General features: G+C 48.4%; 1 protein-coding gene across 2 annotated transcripts in view; it reads left to right on the top strand.

Moving 5' to 3' along the window:
- KIF3C (kinesin family member 3C) overlaps window positions 1–19,794 on the top strand; it is a 55,900-nt gene that overhangs the window by 14,652 nt on the left and 21,454 nt on the right. For both annotated transcript variants that reach the window (XM_005264299.4, NM_002254.8), the window contains exons 2-5: window positions 11,402–11,503; window positions 12,183–12,305; window positions 13,461–13,579; window positions 15,941–16,057. In XM_005264299.4, the coding sequence (XP_005264356.2) occupies window positions 11,402–11,503; window positions 12,183–12,305; window positions 13,461–13,579; window positions 15,941–16,057 (461 nt within the window). The remainder of the gene's footprint in view (window positions 1–11,401; window positions 11,504–12,182; window positions 12,306–13,460; window positions 13,580–15,940; window positions 16,058–19,794) is intronic.

Below are 19,794 nucleotides of genomic sequence, written 5' to 3'. Positions count from 1 at the left end.
TTTGTTTTGTTTTGTTTTTTGAGACAGGGTCTCACTCTGTCACCTAGGCAGGAATGCAGTAGTGCAATCTCAGCTCACTACAGCCTCCACCTCCCGGGCTCAAGGAATCCTTTCATCTCAGCTTCCCAAGTAGATGAGATTACAGAGATGGAACTACAGGCACACAATACTACGCCTGGCTAATTTTTAAAATAAATGTTTTGTAGAGATGGGGTCTCACTATGTTGCCCAGGCTGGTCTTGAACTCCTGGGGTCAAGTGATCTGCCTGCTTCAGCCTCCCAAAGTGCTGGGATTACAGGCGTGAGCCTCTGCACCCAGCCCAACTTGCTGTTCTTACCCAAGGCCTGAAAGGTAGCAGGTATTCTCCCCATTTTACAGATGAGAAAGTGGAAGTCCAAAGGGCTGAAGAGCTAGGTTTTGTAGCAAAGAGAGTGGCAGAGTGTGTAGCCCGACTGGAGCACCCTGACTCCCACACCCAGCCACCTTTATATCATTCCACCACAGAACTTGTGCAGGGGCCCTTCCCACAAATATTTTCCCAGAGTTTTTAGCCTCTCTCTGGGACTCTAGGGATCCTGACAACCTCCCTGCCAGCACACAGTTAAGAGCTCTAACCCACTTATCTCAGAGACCCCCATAAGACTCTCACACAGGCAGAAGCAGCAGCAGCAGAGCCCTGCCTATTTCAGCCAAAAGAGAAAGCAAGGAGGCTCTGAGCTTTCCTGATGGTTCCTGAGTTGGCAAAGGTACAAATACCAAATGCTGCTTCTCTCCAAGGTGCTTTCCTGTCTGAACCTGGAAGAAAGCCATGGAACAGAGAAAAGGACATTGGGCTTGGAGTTAGGGCGGTGGTGGTCAAATATCACTCTGCCATTTACTGGCTCCAAACCTTGAGCAAATCACTTCGCCTGTCTGGGCCTTAGTTTTCTTTTATGTCAAATGGGGATCATAACCATTATCTCATAAGGTTCTTGTGAGCATCAGATAGGACGATTAAGGTAAAAAGGAGTTAACCCAGTTGAGGCACATGGCCAGTTGCATCTGAGACTCCTGTCTCCTGCGGAATGTCACAGATAGGTGGCAGTGGCAGGGCAGAGCCTGTTTGGCTTCTCTGTCCTTGTAAAATCATACTTGATGCTATCTTTCCAGAAGAGTGGCTGGCTGGGCCTGGCTGTCTCCATTCTAGCTTTCCACGTCAGTGCTTTATGAGTACTGGGGCCTCCTTTCTCCCCGCTCTGGTTTTGCACTCCATTTGCTCCTGGAATAGTTAAAGGTGAGTCTCTGAGTATCCCCGGCTGTGTCTACAAGCTGGCATTGTCCCTGTAGTGACCTGGCTGTTGTCACAGCAGCTGACCTGCCTCTGATACCTGGAATCAGAGCCTTAGTCAAATTGGGAAGTTATTTGGAAAGCACATAGTCAATATAAGAGCAGCTAGACAGGTGGGGCGTGGTGGCTCACGCCTGTAATCCCAGCACTTTGGAAGGTCAAGGTGGGTGGATCACTTAAGGTCAGGAGTTCGAGACCAGCCTGGCCAACATGGTGAAACCCCATCTCTACTAAAAATGCAAAAGCTAGCTGGGCGTGGTGGCAGGCACCTGTAGTTCCAGTTACTTAGGAGGCTGAGGCAGGAGAATTGCTTGAATCCAGGAGGCAGAGGTTGCAGTGAGCCGAGATTGTGCCTCTGCACTCCAGCCTGGGTGACAAAATGAGACTGTCTTAAAAAAAAAAAAAGAGCATCTAGACAGATTCCTTAATTAGGAGACTCAGGCTTCAAGGACTCCACTTCTAGGCCTTTGTTTCCCATCTATAAAGCATGGGGGTTGGGGTTGATGATTCCCAAAGTCCCCTTGGTTACCCTGCCCTTCATATCCATCTCTCAAGTGAGAGACTATGGTGCCCTGGAGCTCCCAGCCCTGTCTTTTCCACCCCCACAGCCTGTGCTGGCCTTTTAGTTACACTGGACTTGTTTAGAATCAGCAGAACCAAACCCAATCCTGTCCCCAGGCCCACCCACCTATAGTCTTTTGCTCTGAAATATTACAAAAGAAGCATTGACTGGAATGGCTGAGAGCTTCAGGGAAGTTCTCTTGAAGACTAGGAACTCCACATTCTCATGTCCTCTGCTTGGTATATTCTAGACTGAATTAGGCTCAGGGATTTCAGGCATCCCTGTCCCTCCCTATCCTCATAGGTGATGGTTAAGGATAGAGATCTCTAAAAAAATTAGTCGGGTGTGGTGGCTCATGCGGCTATTTGGGAGGCTTAGGTGGGAGGATCTCTTGAGTCTGGAACATCCAGGCTGCAGTGAACCACTGCACTCCAGCCTGGACAACAGAGCGAGATCCCGTGTCTCAAAAGAAAAGAAAAGGCTCAAGATCTCTGAGAGAAAGGAGGAGATGGCCACTGGTATCCTCAGACAAATGTGGAAATAAAAAAGTAAAGGAAAAAAATCTATTTCTAAGCCAAGAAAGGAATCTCATGCATGACATATTTCCGAGCATGGGAGTGAAGCAGACAGCTTGGGGTGAGACTGGGGAGAAGGAGGGAGCAGAGACCCTGCACCTGGACTGAGGCCCACCCACAGATTTCATGCCAGAGCCAACCCCATCTTCCCAGCACAAGACTGGTCTGTCAGCCAGGCTTGGCTGAGAGTGTGGGTTTGAGCAAGTGGGCAAGACTTGGCCAGTGACTGATAAGGCAAATTCAGTTGACATTCAGACCACGTCTGTGCTGGGTCCCGGCAGGGCTGGCAGAGAAACACAGGGGCATTGGACAGACGGGTGGAGTGATAGTGGCCAGTTAGTCATCGTCCAGGATTCTCTTTATGGAGCCCAGGGCCCAGCCCGCAGGAGAGATTGTGAAGCAGAGTTCTAGGTCCACAGAGGAGATCCAACGCGGAAGCAGATGAGCAGAAACCAGCCCAGGAGCTGGTCTTGAGACTCCTGTAATGGGGAAGAGGGAGGAAGGAGGGCTGGGACTTGGGGACTCAGCAGTCATGCTTGGCTAATGCATCAGACCCCAGGCCTGACTGGCAGCTCAAATTATGCCTGATAGTGTCCAGGTGGCTTCAAGAACTGGGTGAGTTGGTAGCCTTTGAGTGAGAAGGACTTGGGCCTAGGTGTGGATAGCTGGGGAAGGTGGAGGCTGAATAAACAAAAAATTTCATTTTGAATCTGAGGTCCATCTCTTCACTTGAAAATCACCAAAAAAATTAGCCGGCATGCTGGCACATGCCTGTAGTTCCAGCTACTCAGAAGGCTGAGGTGGGAAGATCTTTTGAGCCCAGGAGCTGGAGGCTGCAGTGAGCTCTGATCATGCCACTACATTCCAGCCTGGGCAACAGAGCAAGACCCCGTCTCTAATGGAAAAAGAAAAATCACCAAAAAGTTTTTAAAAACACAATATAGAGTATGTTGGGAAAGGAAAGCTCAGGCCTCCACAAAGACCACCTTAAAGGTATGGAGAATATAAAATGAATGCAGAGGCTCGATTTTATATCTATTATTATAACAAATGTTTATTTTTATTTTATTTTATTTATTTTATTTTTGAGACAGAGTCTTGCTCTGTGGCCCAGGCTAGAGTACAGTGGTGCTATCTCAGCTCACTGTAACCTCTGGCGATTCTTGTGCCTCAGCCTCCTGAGTAGCTGGGATTCCAGGTGCACGCCACCATGCCCAGCTAATTTCTGTCTTTTTAGTAGAGATGAGATTTTGCCATGTTGGCCAGGCTAGTCTCAAACTCCTGGCCTCAAATGATGCACCTGCCTAGGTCTCCGAAAGTGTTGGGATTACAGGTATGAGCCACTGTGCCTAGCCATAACAAATTTTTAAAATAATAATACTTCATGCGGAGCCAGGGATGGTGGCTCACGCCTGTAATCCCAGCACTTTGGGATGCTGAGGTGGGCGGATCACAAGGTCAGCAGTTTGAGACCAGCCTGGCCAACATAGTGAAACCCCATCTCTACTAAAAATACAAAAATTAGCCAGGTGTGGTGGTACACATCTGTAATCCCAGCTACTCAGGAGGCTGAGGCAGGAGAGTCGCTTGAACCTGGGAGGCAGAGGTTGCAGTGAGCCGAGATCACGCCACTGCACTCTAGCCTGGGCAACGAAGTGAGACTCTGTCTCAAAATAATAATAATAATAATAATAATAATAATAATAATAATAATACTTCATGCCTATGATGCTGTAATAAAAATGGTTCCATTATTTACTGCTGGCAGTAGTTTAAGTCATTAGAATGATAATTGACAATATGTTCCAAGATACACAAAATGTTTATAACCCTTTGTCCTCTTCTGAAATTCCTTTCTAAGAAAGTCACCTAAAAAAGCAAAAAATTAGGCTGGGAGTGGTGGCTCACACCTGTGATCACAGCACTTTGAGAGGCTGAGGCAGGTGGATCCCTTGAGCCAGCCTGGGCAACATGGCAAAACCCTGTCTCTACAATAAAATACAAAAATTAGCCAGGCGTGGTGGTGGGTGCCTGTGGTCCCAGCTACTCAGGAGGCCAAGGCAGAAGAATCATTTGAACCTGGGAGGCGGGAGGTTTCAGTGAGCTGAGAGTGCACCACTGCACTCCAGCCTGGGTGACAGAGTGAGACTCTATCTTTAAAAAAAAAAAAAAAAAAAAAAAAAATATATATATATATATATATATACACACACACATACATACACACACACACATATATGCATATATATACATATACATGTATCTATGTACACATGTATATGTATATATATGCATATATGTGTGTGTATGTGTGTATATATATTTATATATTTATATATTATATATTATATATTATATATTATATATATTATATATTATATATTATATATATTATATATTATATATTATATATTATATATATTATATATTATATATTATATATTATATGTATTATATATTATATATATTATATATTATATATATTTTATATTATATATATTTTATATATTATATATATTATATATTATATTATATATTATATATTTTATATATTTTATATATTATATATATTATATATTATATAATATATATTATATATATAACATATATTTTATATATATATTATATTATATATATATTAGGTAAAGTGGAAATAGCAAGACATAAGCTTGTGTTTATACTATGTCCATAGAGGTGAAAAAAGGGCCAGGCACAGTGGCTCATGCCTGTAATCCCAGCACTTTGGGAGGCTGAGGTGGGTGGATCACCATAGGTCGGGAGTTCAAGACCAGCCTGACCAACATGGAGAAACCCTGTCTCTACAAAACTACAAAATTAGCCGGGTGTGGTGGTGCGCGCCTGTAATCCCAGCTACTTGGAAGGCTGAGACAGGAGACTCATTTGAACCCAGGAGGTGGAGGTTGCGTGAGCCGAGATCGTGCCATTGCACTCCAGCCTGGGCAACAAGAGCGAAACTCCGTCTCAAAAAAACAAAAACAAACAAAAAAAAACCAGGGAAAATGAAAGAAACCAAGTAGCCATGGTAGGGAATATGTGGCATTTGTCATTTTATTTCTTTGGTGATTTTGATGTTTGTGCAATTCTTTTTTTCTGAAAGGAGAGAAAGACAATAAAGGGTTAAAAACGTGTCCCCAGAATTCTTTAATAGACTGGTATTTCCTCCAGGGTTAACTCTTGAAGTAACAAATTTCGTAAATGTATTACCTTCTATAAACAGTAAAACTCCTTTTCGTTTGTCCTAAAAACTGCTGCTGTCAAACCTCAAGACGTGAGCTCTTACTCTATGTGCCAGGATGGATTGGAAAAGCCTGGATCTTTCCTTTTCATCCCCAGTTTTGATTGTTTCATTTCCAGACTTATCCTCTTAACTTTTCTTTGTCTTTTCAGAACAGAGTCTTTTTTTTTTTTTTTTGAGATGGAGTCTCATTCTGTTACCCAGGCAGGAGTGCAGTGGCACGATTTCAGCTCACTGCAACCTCCGCCTCGGGTTCAAGCGATTCTCCTGCCTCGGCCTCCCAAAGTGCTGGGATTACAGGCTTGAGCCACTGCGCCCGGCCTAAGCCTCCCTTCTCTTGATCTTCTCTCTGCTTTATGTCTCTGGAGATGCAGTAAGAGAACTACACACAGTACTCCCAATTCAGCCACATCATGGTTTTATATGAGGGTACAATGTTTTGTTTCTAAAAAGCCTTCATGATGGTGCCTGGGCAGATGCTACTGACTTTTTTAGCTGTGGCAGCATATTCAGCCAGTGTCTTCTGGGAACAGTGGAGTGTTACTCCTCCTCCTCCTCCCCTTTTTAGGGCTTATAATTGATTGCCCATGGCTATCATTTAATTAGTAGAGTTAGGATTCCTTTTCCCCAAAATGTAAAATTGTAATTGATGCTCATCTGCCATTTTTTGTCAGCTCACATAGGCTAGAAATTCTGTTGTACTTTACCACCTAGGAGGATTTGGGGGTGTCTGTGAAGTTGGGTATTTCACCCATGCACTCCTTCTTGCACAGCTTCAGAGATTAGTCCTGTTGTTTCACACTTGAGTGCTTTCCATCCAGAGAAATACCTGTTTATTTCTGTTTCCTTTCCCTAGTTCACTTCCCCTTTCTCCATCTCTTCACTCCCCATGTAACTTTGAATAACCTCTGATGTGCAGCCTTGCCAGGAGTGCTTTAACCTCCAGAGTTCTGGTCATTGGCTTCCCCATGTGCTGTAATAACCTATTCCGTCCCATTCTGAAAGAACTCTCAGAGATTAGTCAGACACCATTTCCTCTTGCCGGAAACATGTTGATTTCCTTTAGCAGGTTCTGCTTCCTAAAGGAGTCACCACAGCCCCTGCAATAGGAAGAGCTTGGGCTTTGGAGCCAGGCAGGCCTAGGCCAGGTCTCCATTTAAGTTTTTTGTTTTTAATTCTCTTTCTTTTTTTGAGACAGGGTCTCACTGTTGCCCAAGCTAAAGTGCATTGGCGCAATCTCAGCTCACTGCAGCCTCAACCTCCCAGGCTCAAGTGATCCGCCTGCCACAGCCTTGCGAGTAGCTGGGACCACAGGCCCACACCACCATGCCTGACCCATTTTTATATTTTTTATAGAGACGGGTTTTGCCATGTTACTTGGGCTGGTCTTGAACTCCTGGACTCAAGGGATCTGCCCACTTCAGCCTCCCAAAGTGCTGCAATTACAGGCATAAGCCATCCTGCTCAGCTGGATCTCCATTTAAATTTAATGAGAGGCATATAACTATCATTTTTCCAGTGAAAGCTCACAGATGGTTATCTGCCAAGCAGTGTGCTAAGTCCAGGGACCCTGAGATACGAGTAAGATATGATTGCTGTCCTAAGGGAGCTTACAGGCGAGAGAGCATGTAAACGAATAATGATTCTATCATGAGAAATAGTAGGAATATGGCCTGGTTACTGAGGGGGCCATCATGTGACCTTGGATGGGTTATATAACCTCTGTGAGCTTTCACTGGAAAAATGATAGTGCTAATAATATGCATGCCCCTTACACCAGTCCTTTTCAGACATTTATGTGCATCCAAATTACCTGGGAATCTCAGTACAATATGGATCTCAATTCACTAGGTCTGAATTTCTTATTTGATTTGCTTATTTATTTTTGAGATAGGGCGTTGCTATGTTGCCCAAGCTGATCTTGAACCCCTGGGCTCAAGCGATCCTCCTGCCTCAGCCTCCCAAACAATGGGGACCACAGGCATAAGCCACCACACCTGGCTCTGGAGTGTTACAAAATCTCCCCAGGTGTTTCTAACATGCAGTGATATTTGAGAGCAAGTGTCTTTTGATTATAAAGAATAAAGAATGCTAGAGCCACATAAAATGCTGGGGAAAATGAAGGGTCTCAGGGTTGAAATGGACAAGCGTGTCCCAGATTCAGAGGCCAGGCCAGACAGCAGGCTCCTGAAGACCTGTGACCCAGTAGTTAGGGGATCAGGTATCCATGGTCCACAACAGTAGGGGCCTCCTCCATGTGGTTCTTCTCTTTTCTCTCACACCCACCCCACCCCTCCTGCCAGGTTCCCCAGATGATCGGGCCCCATGACAGTGAGTGTGGATTGATGAATGGGAGGAGAAACTGGGATAAAGAGAGCCCAAGGTGGCCGGGTGCAGTGGCTCACACCTGTAATCCCAGCACTTTGGGAGGCTGAGGCAGGCGGATCACTTGAGGTCAGGAGTTCGAGACCAGCCTGGCCAACACGGCAAAACCCCATCTCTACTAAAAATAGAAAAATTAGCTGGGTGTGGTGGCATGTGCCTGTAGTCTCAGCTACGTGGGAGGCTGAGGCAGGAGAATCGCTTGAACGTGGCAGGTGAAGGTTGCAGTGAGCCAAGATCGCGCCACTGCAGAAAAAAAAGAGAGCCCAAGGAAGGGACCTGGAACCCACTCTGGGACAACCCCCAAGGATTCTGTTTGGTTCATCAAATACGTATTGAGCACTTGTTATCTGCCAAGCACTGAGCTAAGTCCAGGGACCCAGAGATATGAGTAAGATATGACTGCTGCCATGAGGGAGCTCACAGGGGGGACAGCATGTAAATGAATAATTATTCTATTATGAGAAATAGTAGGAATATGGCCTGGTTACTGAGGGGGCCCGAAAGAGCAATTTCAAGGGGATCAGGGAAAATTTCCCAATGGTCAAGGTGTGTCTTGCAGAAAAAGTGGCAGTTTTCCAGTTAGATGTGGAGTGGGAGGAGGAACCCAGGTGCTTGTGAAATGCCATGGCCCATTGAGGGAGCTGGAATTCTTTTTTTTCTTTTTTGAGACGGAGTTTTGCTCTTGTTGCCCAGGCTGGAGTACAATGGCGTGATCTCGGCTCACCACAACCTCCGCCTCCCGTGTTCAAGCGATTCTCCTGCCTCAGCCTCCTGAGTAGCTGGGATTACAGGCATGTGCCATTATGCCCAGCTAATTTTGTATTTTTAGTAGAGATGGGGTTTCTCCATGTTGGTCAGACTGGTCTCGAACTCCCAACCTCAGGTGATCCGCCTGCCTTGGCCTCCCAAAGTGCCGGGATTACAGGCGCTAGCCACCGCACCGGGCCCCCAGGGAGCTGGAATTCTCTTGGTGAGGCTGGAGTACAGAGCATACGCAGAGCATGAATAGTAAGAGGAACCGGGAGGCCAGGCCAGCTCCCGGGGCCTGTCACTGCAGCTGACCTTGGATTTCATCCTGTAAGGAATGGAGGTCCATTCAGTAGTTTGAAGCCAAGGAGCAAGCATTCAGAGTTGTGCTGTTTTTTGTTTTTTGTTTTTTGTGATGAAGTCTCACTCTGGCACCCAGGCTGGAGTGCAGTGGCGTGATCTCGGCTCACTGCAGCCTCTGCCTCCCTAGTTCAACCGATTCTCCTGCCTCAGCCTCCTGAGTATCTAGGACTACAGGTGCACGCCACCACACCCAGCTAATTTTTGTCTTTTTAGTAGAGCTGGGGTTTCTCCATTTTGGCCAGGCTGGTATCGAACTCCTGACCTCAGATGATCCGCCCACCTCAACTTCCCAAAGTGCTGGGATTACGGGCATGAGCCACCGTCCCCAGCCCAGGGTTGTGTTTTTAGTGGATCTGCCTGGGTGTCATGTGGCAGAGGGGTGGAAGGGGACACTGAGGCAGTGGGGAGACCACAGCAGTGGTCCAGGAGAGTTGTGGGGGCTGCAATGAAGCCAGCAGGTAGCAGTGAGAATGAAAAATGGGGGGTGGTGGGAGCCGCACTGAGGAGCAGATTTGATGGCCTTGACTCACTGGCCAGATGCAACGGATGAGAGGCAGGGCAGGGATGAGGCGAGGCAGGTGAGTCGCTGAGGATGCAGTGTAAGGGATTCTTCCCTCTCATGGTCCTGCAAATGCTGACCTGGAGTGTGAAGGAGGAGCCTAGGATGGGTTTAGGTCTGTGGCAAGGCAATGCGGTAAGAGGGGAGATCATTAACCAGGAGCGCAGGCGGCTGCAGTGTGGCAGCATGGACAGCCTCCAGGGCTCAAGGCCTCTTCCTCCTGCCTTGGCCTCTGAGGCTGTGTGGGGCTGGAATGAAGCTCGTGCCTCTCTGGCGGGCCCAACTTGCTCAGCGTCTTTGGGTGACAAAGCCTCACACAGCCCATTCCTTGACCTCCCAAAAGCCACTGTTAACCCCTGTCTGGCTGTGTTCCCAATGATGTGGCTCTTACAGGTGGTCTCCTGCTCCCCAAGTCTGACAGCACCCCCTGCTTTGAGATCCCTCAGGTAGGTCAGCTGTTTCCACTGGGAAAAATTCCAGTGGAGAAGCAGCCAGCTTTTTCCACTGGTTCAAGGTGATTTCAACCTTCCAGGAGGCCCGTGATGAAGCCAGAGGACAACTGGGTACCCTGGGACAGCACCTTCTTCTTATTTTATTTTCATTTTCTAAAATTTCAAATCGGGCACCCCCCCAAACCAGAATAGGTTTTGAAAGGCTGCCGACAGCACCCTCTTGAAAATACATTTTATGTAGTCACAGTTTACACAAATCTGACATTATTTCAGCTTCAGATTCCAAAGCACTGACTAGGGGCTTTCACAGAGTGAGACTGGGGGTACGAGGTTCAAATCTCTCCTCTTTGCTACTCAATAGCTGCATGGCCTTAGGCTGGTCATTCTCAATGTCTTCATTTATTAAATGCGGAGGAGAATAGTCCCTCTTAGGGGGGGATGGAAACCATGGTGTTAAAGGCTTAGCTCAGCATCTAATAGATACTTAGCGCTCCACAAATGTTTGCCAGCCATCCTGGAACATAGGCGGTGTTCCAATATTGTAGATGACAGACCTGAAGGGATTAATTTGCCCAAAGCCTCGAGGTAAGTGGGTAGAACCAAGTCTTCCCGGCCCTCTCCAAAGCTCCTGCTGTGCTGGGCCCGTGCTGTTCCTTCTTGCTGTGCAGTCTGCTCCCTTTGGCTTTTCTTCTGCTTTCCACATCAGCTGAAGATTTAGACCCTTTCCTGCTGCCTGTGTTGAGAGCTGTCTTCCTGAGTTGGAAGCCAGTTAGCTAAAGGCTGGGCTACCTGGTGACTGTATCTTATCTTTCCCAATCCTCAACACCAGCTGGGTCCTGGTTGCCAGGATTAGGTTGCCACCCCCATCCTCCTCCTAGCCCTGGTGGACCAACCTTTCCTGTGTACCCAAAGCAAACAGACCAGTTGCCCTAGATTCCCCGAGGGGCACCCTCTGTGCCTCCCTAGTGTTCCTGCTGACAATAAGAGCCTTGTGCTGGGACCTGAGACACTAGAGGGGAAAACTCCATTCTCCCTGAAAGCCACAAGGCCCCATCTGGGACACATCTGGTGTCCACTCCCAGAAGGACCACAGAGCAGGGAAGCAAAATCTCTCCAGCTAGCAATGTTGTGGACCCTTTGCAAAGCCCACCTCCCAACCCCTCTGTGTCCCCAGGCCATGGAGAGCAAGCTCCTCATCGGGGGCAGGAACATCATGGATCACACCAACGAACAGCAGAAGATGTTGGAACTGAAGAGGCAGGAGATTGCCGAGCAGGTAGGGCCTCCAGGTGCCAGGTCCCCTTGGAGAGTGTGGCCTGCAGCTCATGTCTGGGAGGTGCAGGGCCGTAAACCATGGTGGACTCTGGATCTCTGGAATTACAGTGCTGAGAATCTCAGACATGCCACCCTGGGTCCCACAGGTCTACTAGCCCAGGGTCTTCCCTTTGGCAGGGGCACTGCTAGCTGGTGGGCGAGAGGACGTGATAGCTCTCCATAACATCAGCCTCCACAAGCCACCTGGTACTAATTCCTGGGCCTTCCACAAGGTGGTGTGAGTTCTTTGCCAACTGTATGACTGTTTCCCTAAATCATCAAGAGCCACAGTTTGTTGGTCTTACCAATCAACCATTATACTACTTGGGGAGAGGGTGAGGCAGCTTGGAAGGCAGTGTGATGTGCCTCCATCTGTGTGACTAACGCCTCTGGAGTAGGCCAGCTCTTAGGGGCTGGGGTCTCCATCCACATGGGGCAGAGCCTGGCAAAGGCATGGCCCTGGGAACTGAGAGGAGGGTTCCCAGGGGCTCTGCAGGATTGGGTGGGAGCAGTGGATGTGGGCCATGGGCCATGGTGAAGCCAGGTCCCGAGACAGGCAGAGTGAGCCAGTCCCCTGAGCTTTCCTGGCCCTCCCGAGTATGCACTGCTCCTTTGAGCCACACTGCCCGTCCTTGGCCTAGAAACGTCGTGAGCGGGAGATGCAGCAGGAGATGATGCTCCGGGACGAGGAGACTATGGAGCTCCGGGGCACCTACACATCCCTGCAGCAGGAGGTGGAGGTCAAAACCAAGAAACTCAAGAAGGTGAGACGCTGCAGCAGGACCGGTTAAGGTGTGCTGGAGGCCCAGCAGTCTCTGCCCAAGGGATGTGTGCTTCAGGGACTCCTCCCCATTTGGCTGGAACTGCTGAACCCCTGAGTGACATGGCTTGGCCTCGGGGGTGAGCAACAGGGGGAGGCAGGAGGCGGGGGCTGGGGGTGGAGTAGAGCCTTTTCTCCTGGGCCAGGGTGGGCTATGACAGGCTGCAAACTCTGTCACTTGCAGTATCCAGCGTTACCATCTTCATGGTCCTGGGTGATTACCCCGTTCAGTGTCACCAGTGAGTCACAGTTGGGATAGCTGGGCCTGGAGCAGGGCCAGGGGAATACAGAGAGGCTGAGGAGGAGACTGGAACCCCGGGAAGCTCAGGTGGGGAGTGTAAGGCCCTCAAGGACATGTCAAGGGATGAGAATAGCCGCTCACCAGAACCCTGCAAAGCCCGTGGCAAGGGAAAGACATGTACATGTGAGGGGGGTCTAGGGCAGGAAGCAGCAAAGCTCTAGCTTGGATTCTGGGAAAAACCTGGAGGCCCTTCGGGGTGGGTGATGTGGCTGCCCAGGGGCAGGCCTGGCAGAGGCACTGCCACTGTGGCAGTTACCACGGACCCAGCCCTCAGTGGCTTTGGAGAGGAGCAGGATGGCCATGCTACCTCCACACCCCACTTTTGAGAGCCCCTGAAGAGACTGGAGTGGGAGGGGTCACCTTCCAAACTCGTTCAGGCTTCCTGCTTCCTGAGCTGGGTCTCCAAATAAGCCCCGGGTCCTAGTTCCGGCTCTTCTATTGGCTGGTTGTGTGACCTTGAGCAAGTCTGTGCCTGGCTTCCTCATCTATGAAAGGAGGGTATTGGACCAAAAGGTCCCTGGGGTCCCCTCCCGTTTGAACATTCCACGATGCTGATAGCAGCTGAGAAAGAGCAGACAATGGTCACAGGCCTCAGTGAAGGAGGGCGGGGCACCACTTTAAATAGCCCAGCCCAATTCGTGGTGGGTTGGGCACAGCGGGGAGTTCAGAAAAGGACCCGCAGCCTCATCCTGGGCTGAGTCGGTAGACTCTGAGCCTGCAGCCCTGCGGCCCAGGCTGGGTGACTGGGGCCTCGTTGCCACACCAAGCAGCCTCTGAGTGGCACCTGTCCCCACCCAGCTCTACGCCAAGCTGCAGGCGGTGAAGGCGGAGATCCAGGACCAGCATGATGAGTATATCCGCGTGCGGCAGGACCTGGAGGAGGCGCAGAACGAGCAGACCCGCGAACTCAAGCTCAAGTAGGGCCCGCAGCTCTTTTCATCCCGGGTCCCCACAGCCAGCCATCATTACTCAGGCCTCTCCTCCCCTAAGGCCTCATCCTGACTGTCTCCTCTCCCATGAGTCCTTTAGGAATAAAATGCGTCTGAGGGCTGAGGGATGGGCCCACGTGCTGGAGTTTCTTCTACCTCCTCTGCCTGTATTTGATGAACCCCTCAAAATGGACGCTAGGTGCTGGCCAAAAGTAACTCCGAAGGCCCTGAGGCTACCATCTTTGCATAAGAATCAGTGATTTTAAATTTTTTAAAAATTATTTTTAGGGCCGGGCGCAGTGGCTCATGCCTGTAATCCCAGCACTTTGGGAGCCGAGGCAGGTGGATCACCTGAGGTCAGGAGTTTGAGACCAGCCTGATCAACATGGTGAAACCCCATCTCTACTAAAAATACAAAAATTAGCCGGGCATGGTGGCGCGCACTTGTAATCCCAGCTACTCAGGAGGCTGAGGCAGAATTGCTTGAACCTGGGAGGTGGAGGTGGCAGTGAGCCGAGATCATGCCACTGCAATCCAGCCTGGGCGACAGAGCGAGACAACGTCTCAAAAAAAAAAAAAAAACAAAAACAAAAAAGGCCGGGCGCAGTGGCTCATGCCTGTAATCCCAGCACTTTGGGAGGCTGAGGCAGGTGGATCACGAGGTCAGGAGATCGAGACTATCCTGGCTAACACGGAGAAACTCCGCCTCTACTAAAAATATAAAAAATTAGCCGAGAGTGGTGGCGGGCGCCTGTAGTCCCAGCTACTTGGGAGGCTGAGGCAGGAGAATGGTGTGAACCTGGGAGGCAGAGCTTGCAGTGAGCTGAGATGGAGCCACTGCACTCCAGCCTGGGCGACAGAGCAAGACTCTGTCTCAAAAAAAAAAATTATTTTTAAATTTGTTTTAAAAATTATTTTAAAAAATGTGTGTATATAGTAGTTGCATATATTAATATTGATGGGATACATTAGATTTTTTTTTTTTGGAGATGGAATATTGCTCTATCATCCACCCTGGAGTGCAGTGGTGCAGTCTTGGCTCACTGCAGCCTCCACCTCCCAAGTTCAAGCGGTCCTCCTGCCTCAGCCTCCTGAGTAGCTGGGACTACAGGCGCCCACCACCACACCTGACTAATGTTTGCATTTTTAGTAGAGATGGAGTTTCGCCATGTTGGCCAGGGTGGTCTCAAACTCCTGACCTCAGGTGATCCGTCCTCCTCGGCCTCCCAAAGGGCTGGGATTACAGGCATGAGCCACCTCGCCTGGCCACATGAGATGTTTTGATACAGGTGTGCAATGTGAACTAAGCACATCATGGAGAATGGGGTATCCATCCCCTCAAACATTTATCCTTCAAGTTACAATAATCCAGTTACACTCTTTAAGTTATTTTAAAATATACAATTTGCTGGCTTATACCTGTAATCCCAGCACTTTGGGAGGCTGAGGCAGGTGGATCACCTGAGGTCGGGAGTTTGAGACCAGCCTGGCCAACGTGGTGAAACCCCATCTCTACTAAAAATACAAAAATTAGCCAGGCATGGTGGCATGTGCCTGTAATCCCAGCTACTCAGGAGGCTGAGGCAGGAGAATCACTTGAACCCAGGAGGTGGAGGTTGCAGTGAGCTGAGATCGTGCCATTGCACTCCAGCCTGAGCAACAAGTGCAAAACTGTCTCAAAAAAAAAAAAATATATATATATATACACACACACACACACACACACACATATATATACAATTAAGTTATTGACTATAGTCACCCTATTGTGCTATCAAATAAAAGTATTTATTCATTTTTCTAATTTTGTGTACCTGTTAGAAGCAGTGATTTTTCAAGCTGCAGTATTTCTGTAGGGATCCTTTCCCCTTAACTTCTTGATTTTCCCCACCTCCACATTGCCTCTGCCTCTTTTTTTAAAATAAATAAATAATTAATTAACTTATTTTTTTTTGAGACGGAGTCTCACTCTGTCGCCCAGGCTGGAGTGCAGTGGTGTGATCTAAGCTTACTGCAAGCTCTGCCTCCCAGGTTCATGCCATTCTCCTGCCTCAGCCTCCTGAGTAGCTTGGGACTACAGGCACCCACCACCACGCCCAGCTAATTTTTTTTTGTATTTTTAGTAGAGACGGAAATGGTGTTTCACTGTGTTAGCCAGGATGGTCTTGATCTCCTGACCTCGTGATCCGCCCGCCTTGGTCTCCCAAAGTGCTGGGATTACAGGCGTGAGCCACCGTGCCCAGCCCCCTCTGCCTCTTGGCTTGTTGCTTCTAATCCTTCAACCCTCACATGCACCACGTGGTCTCTCGCTCACCCATTTTCCCATCACTCCTTCATTCCTGCTCCCAGGTACCTAATCATCGAGAACTTCATCCCGCCGGAGGAGAAGAACAAGATCATGAACCGGCTTTTCCTGGACTGTGAGGAGGAGCAGTGGAAGTTCCAGCCACTGGTGCCAGCCGGCGTGTGAGTCTCTAACCCAGCTGTCTGGGCTGGGGGACTTGTGGGTCCACTCCAGGTCGGGGCTGGTGAGGGGCCTGAGGCCTTGCCTGCAGGGAGACAGATGTTTTGTGGATTGGGGAAAAGATGGGGAGGATGCCGATGGGGGATGAATTTCTCAGGATCTAATTGTAGGGGTCTCTATGATGGAAGGGTGTTCTGGGAAAAAAAGTGTCTCATTGGCCTGGGATGCAGAAAATACCTTGTGAGGGATCTCGGGAGGGAGGAAGAGCATCTCAGCCTCTTGACAATCCTAGCGAATGCTAACATCTGGCCAGGTCTGGTGAATATTCATTTGTCAGATGCCCGAAATAGCAACCACAGTTAATATTTGCCAAGCGCTACTGTGTGCCGGATGCTGTGCAAGACTCAGGAGACAGAAGATAAATTAGACATGGTCCGAGCTCACAGTCCAGTGGGAAATAAGTAATCAGATCATGATGTGATAGAGCTGTGATCCAATCTCAGTGCGCTCGCTCATCCGGGTGATTTCAGCATTTCCACCTGTTTCCATGTCCTAGTCCTTGGGTGCAGCTGCGGCCATTGGCTGGGTGTGTGGCTCCCTCTGCTGGTGGCCATGAAGAACATCCCAACAGAGTGAGGCCTTGCCCGGCTGAACCATGGGCCCTTAATTGCAAATATATAGAGAGAGGTGCTTAGGAGGCTGGACACCAATGCACCTTCCTGGAGATTATTTGCTCTCTCTAGAATATTAATGTTAAAATAGGGCAAGAGTCTCCCTAAATCTGGGATGGGAAGCTAGCAAGAGGTCTACAGCTTCTCACTGAAGCATCAGATGCCTACTTGGTTATTTTTTTTTTCCTTTCTTCCTTTTCTTTTCTTCTTCTTTTTTTTTTTTTTAACAACTATAGCTTAGATGCCTATTTGATCTTTCTTAAAGGCTGATTTTACTTAAGGTGATACCACATAAGTTTGTAAGTGGCAAGCACGTGAATAGAGGACTTTTCAATGGTATTACTTTGCACCTACAATCCACCTTTCCAATCTAGGTAGAGATTCTCAATAGTACATCAGCTGTCATAGAGGTTTTCCACCCTGGCTGGAGCTAGAATACCTGCAGAGAGTCTGATTTAAAGGGTCCCAGGTCTTAGGTTTTGTGATTCTGCATTTGAAGCCAGGCTAGAAAACCACTGCTCCAATGACATTTGCTGGAGTTGGATGCTGGCGAGGCTTCACTCTGAAGGGTTATCTTATGCTTAGAAAAGTTCTTTCTAGCTGGGCGTGGTGGCTCAAGTCTGTAATCTCAGCACTTTGGGAGGCTGAGGCAGGTGGATGGCCTGAGGTCAGGAATTTGAGACCAGCCTGACCAACATAGTGAAACCCCATCTCTACTAAAAATACAAAAAAAAATTAGCTGGGCGTGGTGGCAGGCGCCTGTAATCCTAGCTACTAGGGAGGCTGAGGCAGGAGAATCTCTTGAACTCGGGAGGTGGAGGTTGCAGTGAGCCAAGATCACTCCATTGCGCTCCAGCCTGGGCAACAAGAGCAAGACTCCGTCTCAAAAAAAAAAAAGAAAAGAAAAGAAAAGGTCTTTCTGCTGGGCATGGTGGCTCATGCCTGTAATCCTGTAATCCCAGCATTTTGGGAGGCCGAGGCGGGTGGATCACTTGGCGTCAGGAGTTTGAGACCAGCCTGGCCAACGTGGTGAAACCCCGTCTCTACTAAAAATACAAAAAATTAGCCGGGTGTGGTGGCATGCACCTGCAGTCTCAGCTCCTGGGGAAGCTGAGGCAAGAGAATCACTTGAACCCAGGAGGCAGAGGTTGCAGTGAAACTTGCTCTTTCGCCCAGGCTGGAGTGCAGTGGTGTGATCTTGGCTCACTGCAACCTCCGCTTCCTGGGTTCAAACGATTCTCGAGCCTCAGCCTCCCCAGTAGCTGGGATTGCAGGTGCATGCTACCACGCCTGGCTAATTTTTTGTATTTTTAGTAGAGACGGGGTTTCACCATGTTGGCCAGGCTGGTCTTGAACTCCTGAGCTCAAGTGATCCACCTGCCTCAGCCTCCCAAAATGCTGGAATTATAGGCATGAGCCACTGCACCAGTCCTTAGAAAAGTTCTTGAGTTTAAAGTTTGCAGGTGAAGGAATTTCTTTACATTGGATGTAGTAGTGCCACCAATGTGCTCAACTAGTTGTGGGATGGGAGAGGCTTTGAGAAGGTGTGCATTAACTTTTGTTGTTGTTGTTGTTTGAGACAGGGTCTCACTCTGTCACCCTGGCTGGAGTGCAGTGGTGTAATCACAGCTCACTGCAACCTCAGCCTCCCCAGGCTCATGTGGTCCTCCTCCCAGCTAATTTTTTTTTCTTTTTTTTTGGTATTTTTTGTAGAGACAGGGTTTTGCCATGTTACCCAGGCTGATCTCGAGCTCCTGGGCTGAAGCGATCTGCCTGCCTTGTCCTCTCAAAGTTCTAGGATTACAGGCGTGAGCCACTGCGCCTGGCCACGTCAGCTTTTTATTTTGAAAACAAGAATTGCAAGAATAGTATAAAGAATTCTCGTATACCCTTCACCAGATTATTAACATTTTGCCATATCTTGCTTTAACTTTCCCCCAACCACTTGAGATTAAGTTGCAGACATTTTGACCTTTTACCTGTACTTCCGAAAAATGAGAACATTCGTGTTCCACAGTGCAATGATCAAACTCAGGAAATTTTGTATTGTCACAATATTATTATATAGGCAATATTAAAATTTGCCAATGTCCTTTATGATGATTTCCCTCCCTCCCCACCTGCAGTCATGCATTTCATTTAATTGTCATGACTCTTTGGTCTCCTTTAATGTGGAACTGAGAAGGGATTTTGACTTGAGTTTAGCAGTTTCTTGCTTCAGAGGAATTTATTCATTTCTCAAAACACTCTGCAATTTTGACTTGACTGCCTCAAGCACATGATCCAGACTCAAAGTGTGGCAGGTGCTTTACCTGAAGTTCGAATGAGCTTTCTGCATAATGATTATGAATTTCCTTCCCTCCCTCCCTCCCTCCCTTCATTCCTTCCCTTTCTTCTTTCTTTCCCTTCCTTCCTTCCTTCTTTCCTTCCTTTCTTTCTTTCTCTCTCTCTTTCTCTCTTTCTCTTTCTCTCTTTCTCTTTCTCTCTCTCTTTCTCTCTTTCTCTTTCTCTTTCTTTCTTTCTCTTTCTCCCTTTCTTTATTTTCTTCCTTACTTCCTTGCTTGCTTTCTTGCTTTCTTTTTTCTTGAGTCTCACTCTGTCACCCAGGCTGGAGTATATAACTCACTGCAGCTTCGGGCTCCTGGGCTCAAGTGATCCTCCTGCCTCAGCCTTCTGAGTAGCTGGGGCCACAGGCATGCACCACCACACCAGCTAAATTTTTTATCTTTTGTAGAGACAGGGTCTCACTTTGTTGCCTAGGCTGGTCGTGAGGTCCGGGGCTTAAGCGATCCCCCTCCTACTGCCTCCCAGGGTTGGGATCACAGGCATGAGCCACCCCACCCAGCCTGGACTTCCCCTCCTTATTTATGTTATTTATTTATTTGTATTATTTTTGAGACAGAGTCTATCTCTGTCTGCACTCAGGCTAGAGTGCAGTGGTGTGATCACAGCTCACTGCAGCCTTGACCTCCTGGGCTCAAGTGATCCTCCCACTCAGCCTCCCAAGTAGCTTGAACCAGCAGGCAGTCGCCACCATGGCCAGCTCATTTTTTCTTAAATGTTTTTTA

This window comes from Homo sapiens, chromosome 2 (assembly GCF_000001405.40).
Source record: "Homo sapiens chromosome 2, GRCh38.p14 Primary Assembly".
Lineage (NCBI taxonomy): Eukaryota > Metazoa > Chordata > Mammalia > Primates > Hominidae > Homo > Homo sapiens.
The sequence above is the reverse complement of the archived record's forward strand: the minus strand, read 5'-3'. Positions and strand labels throughout refer to the sequence as shown.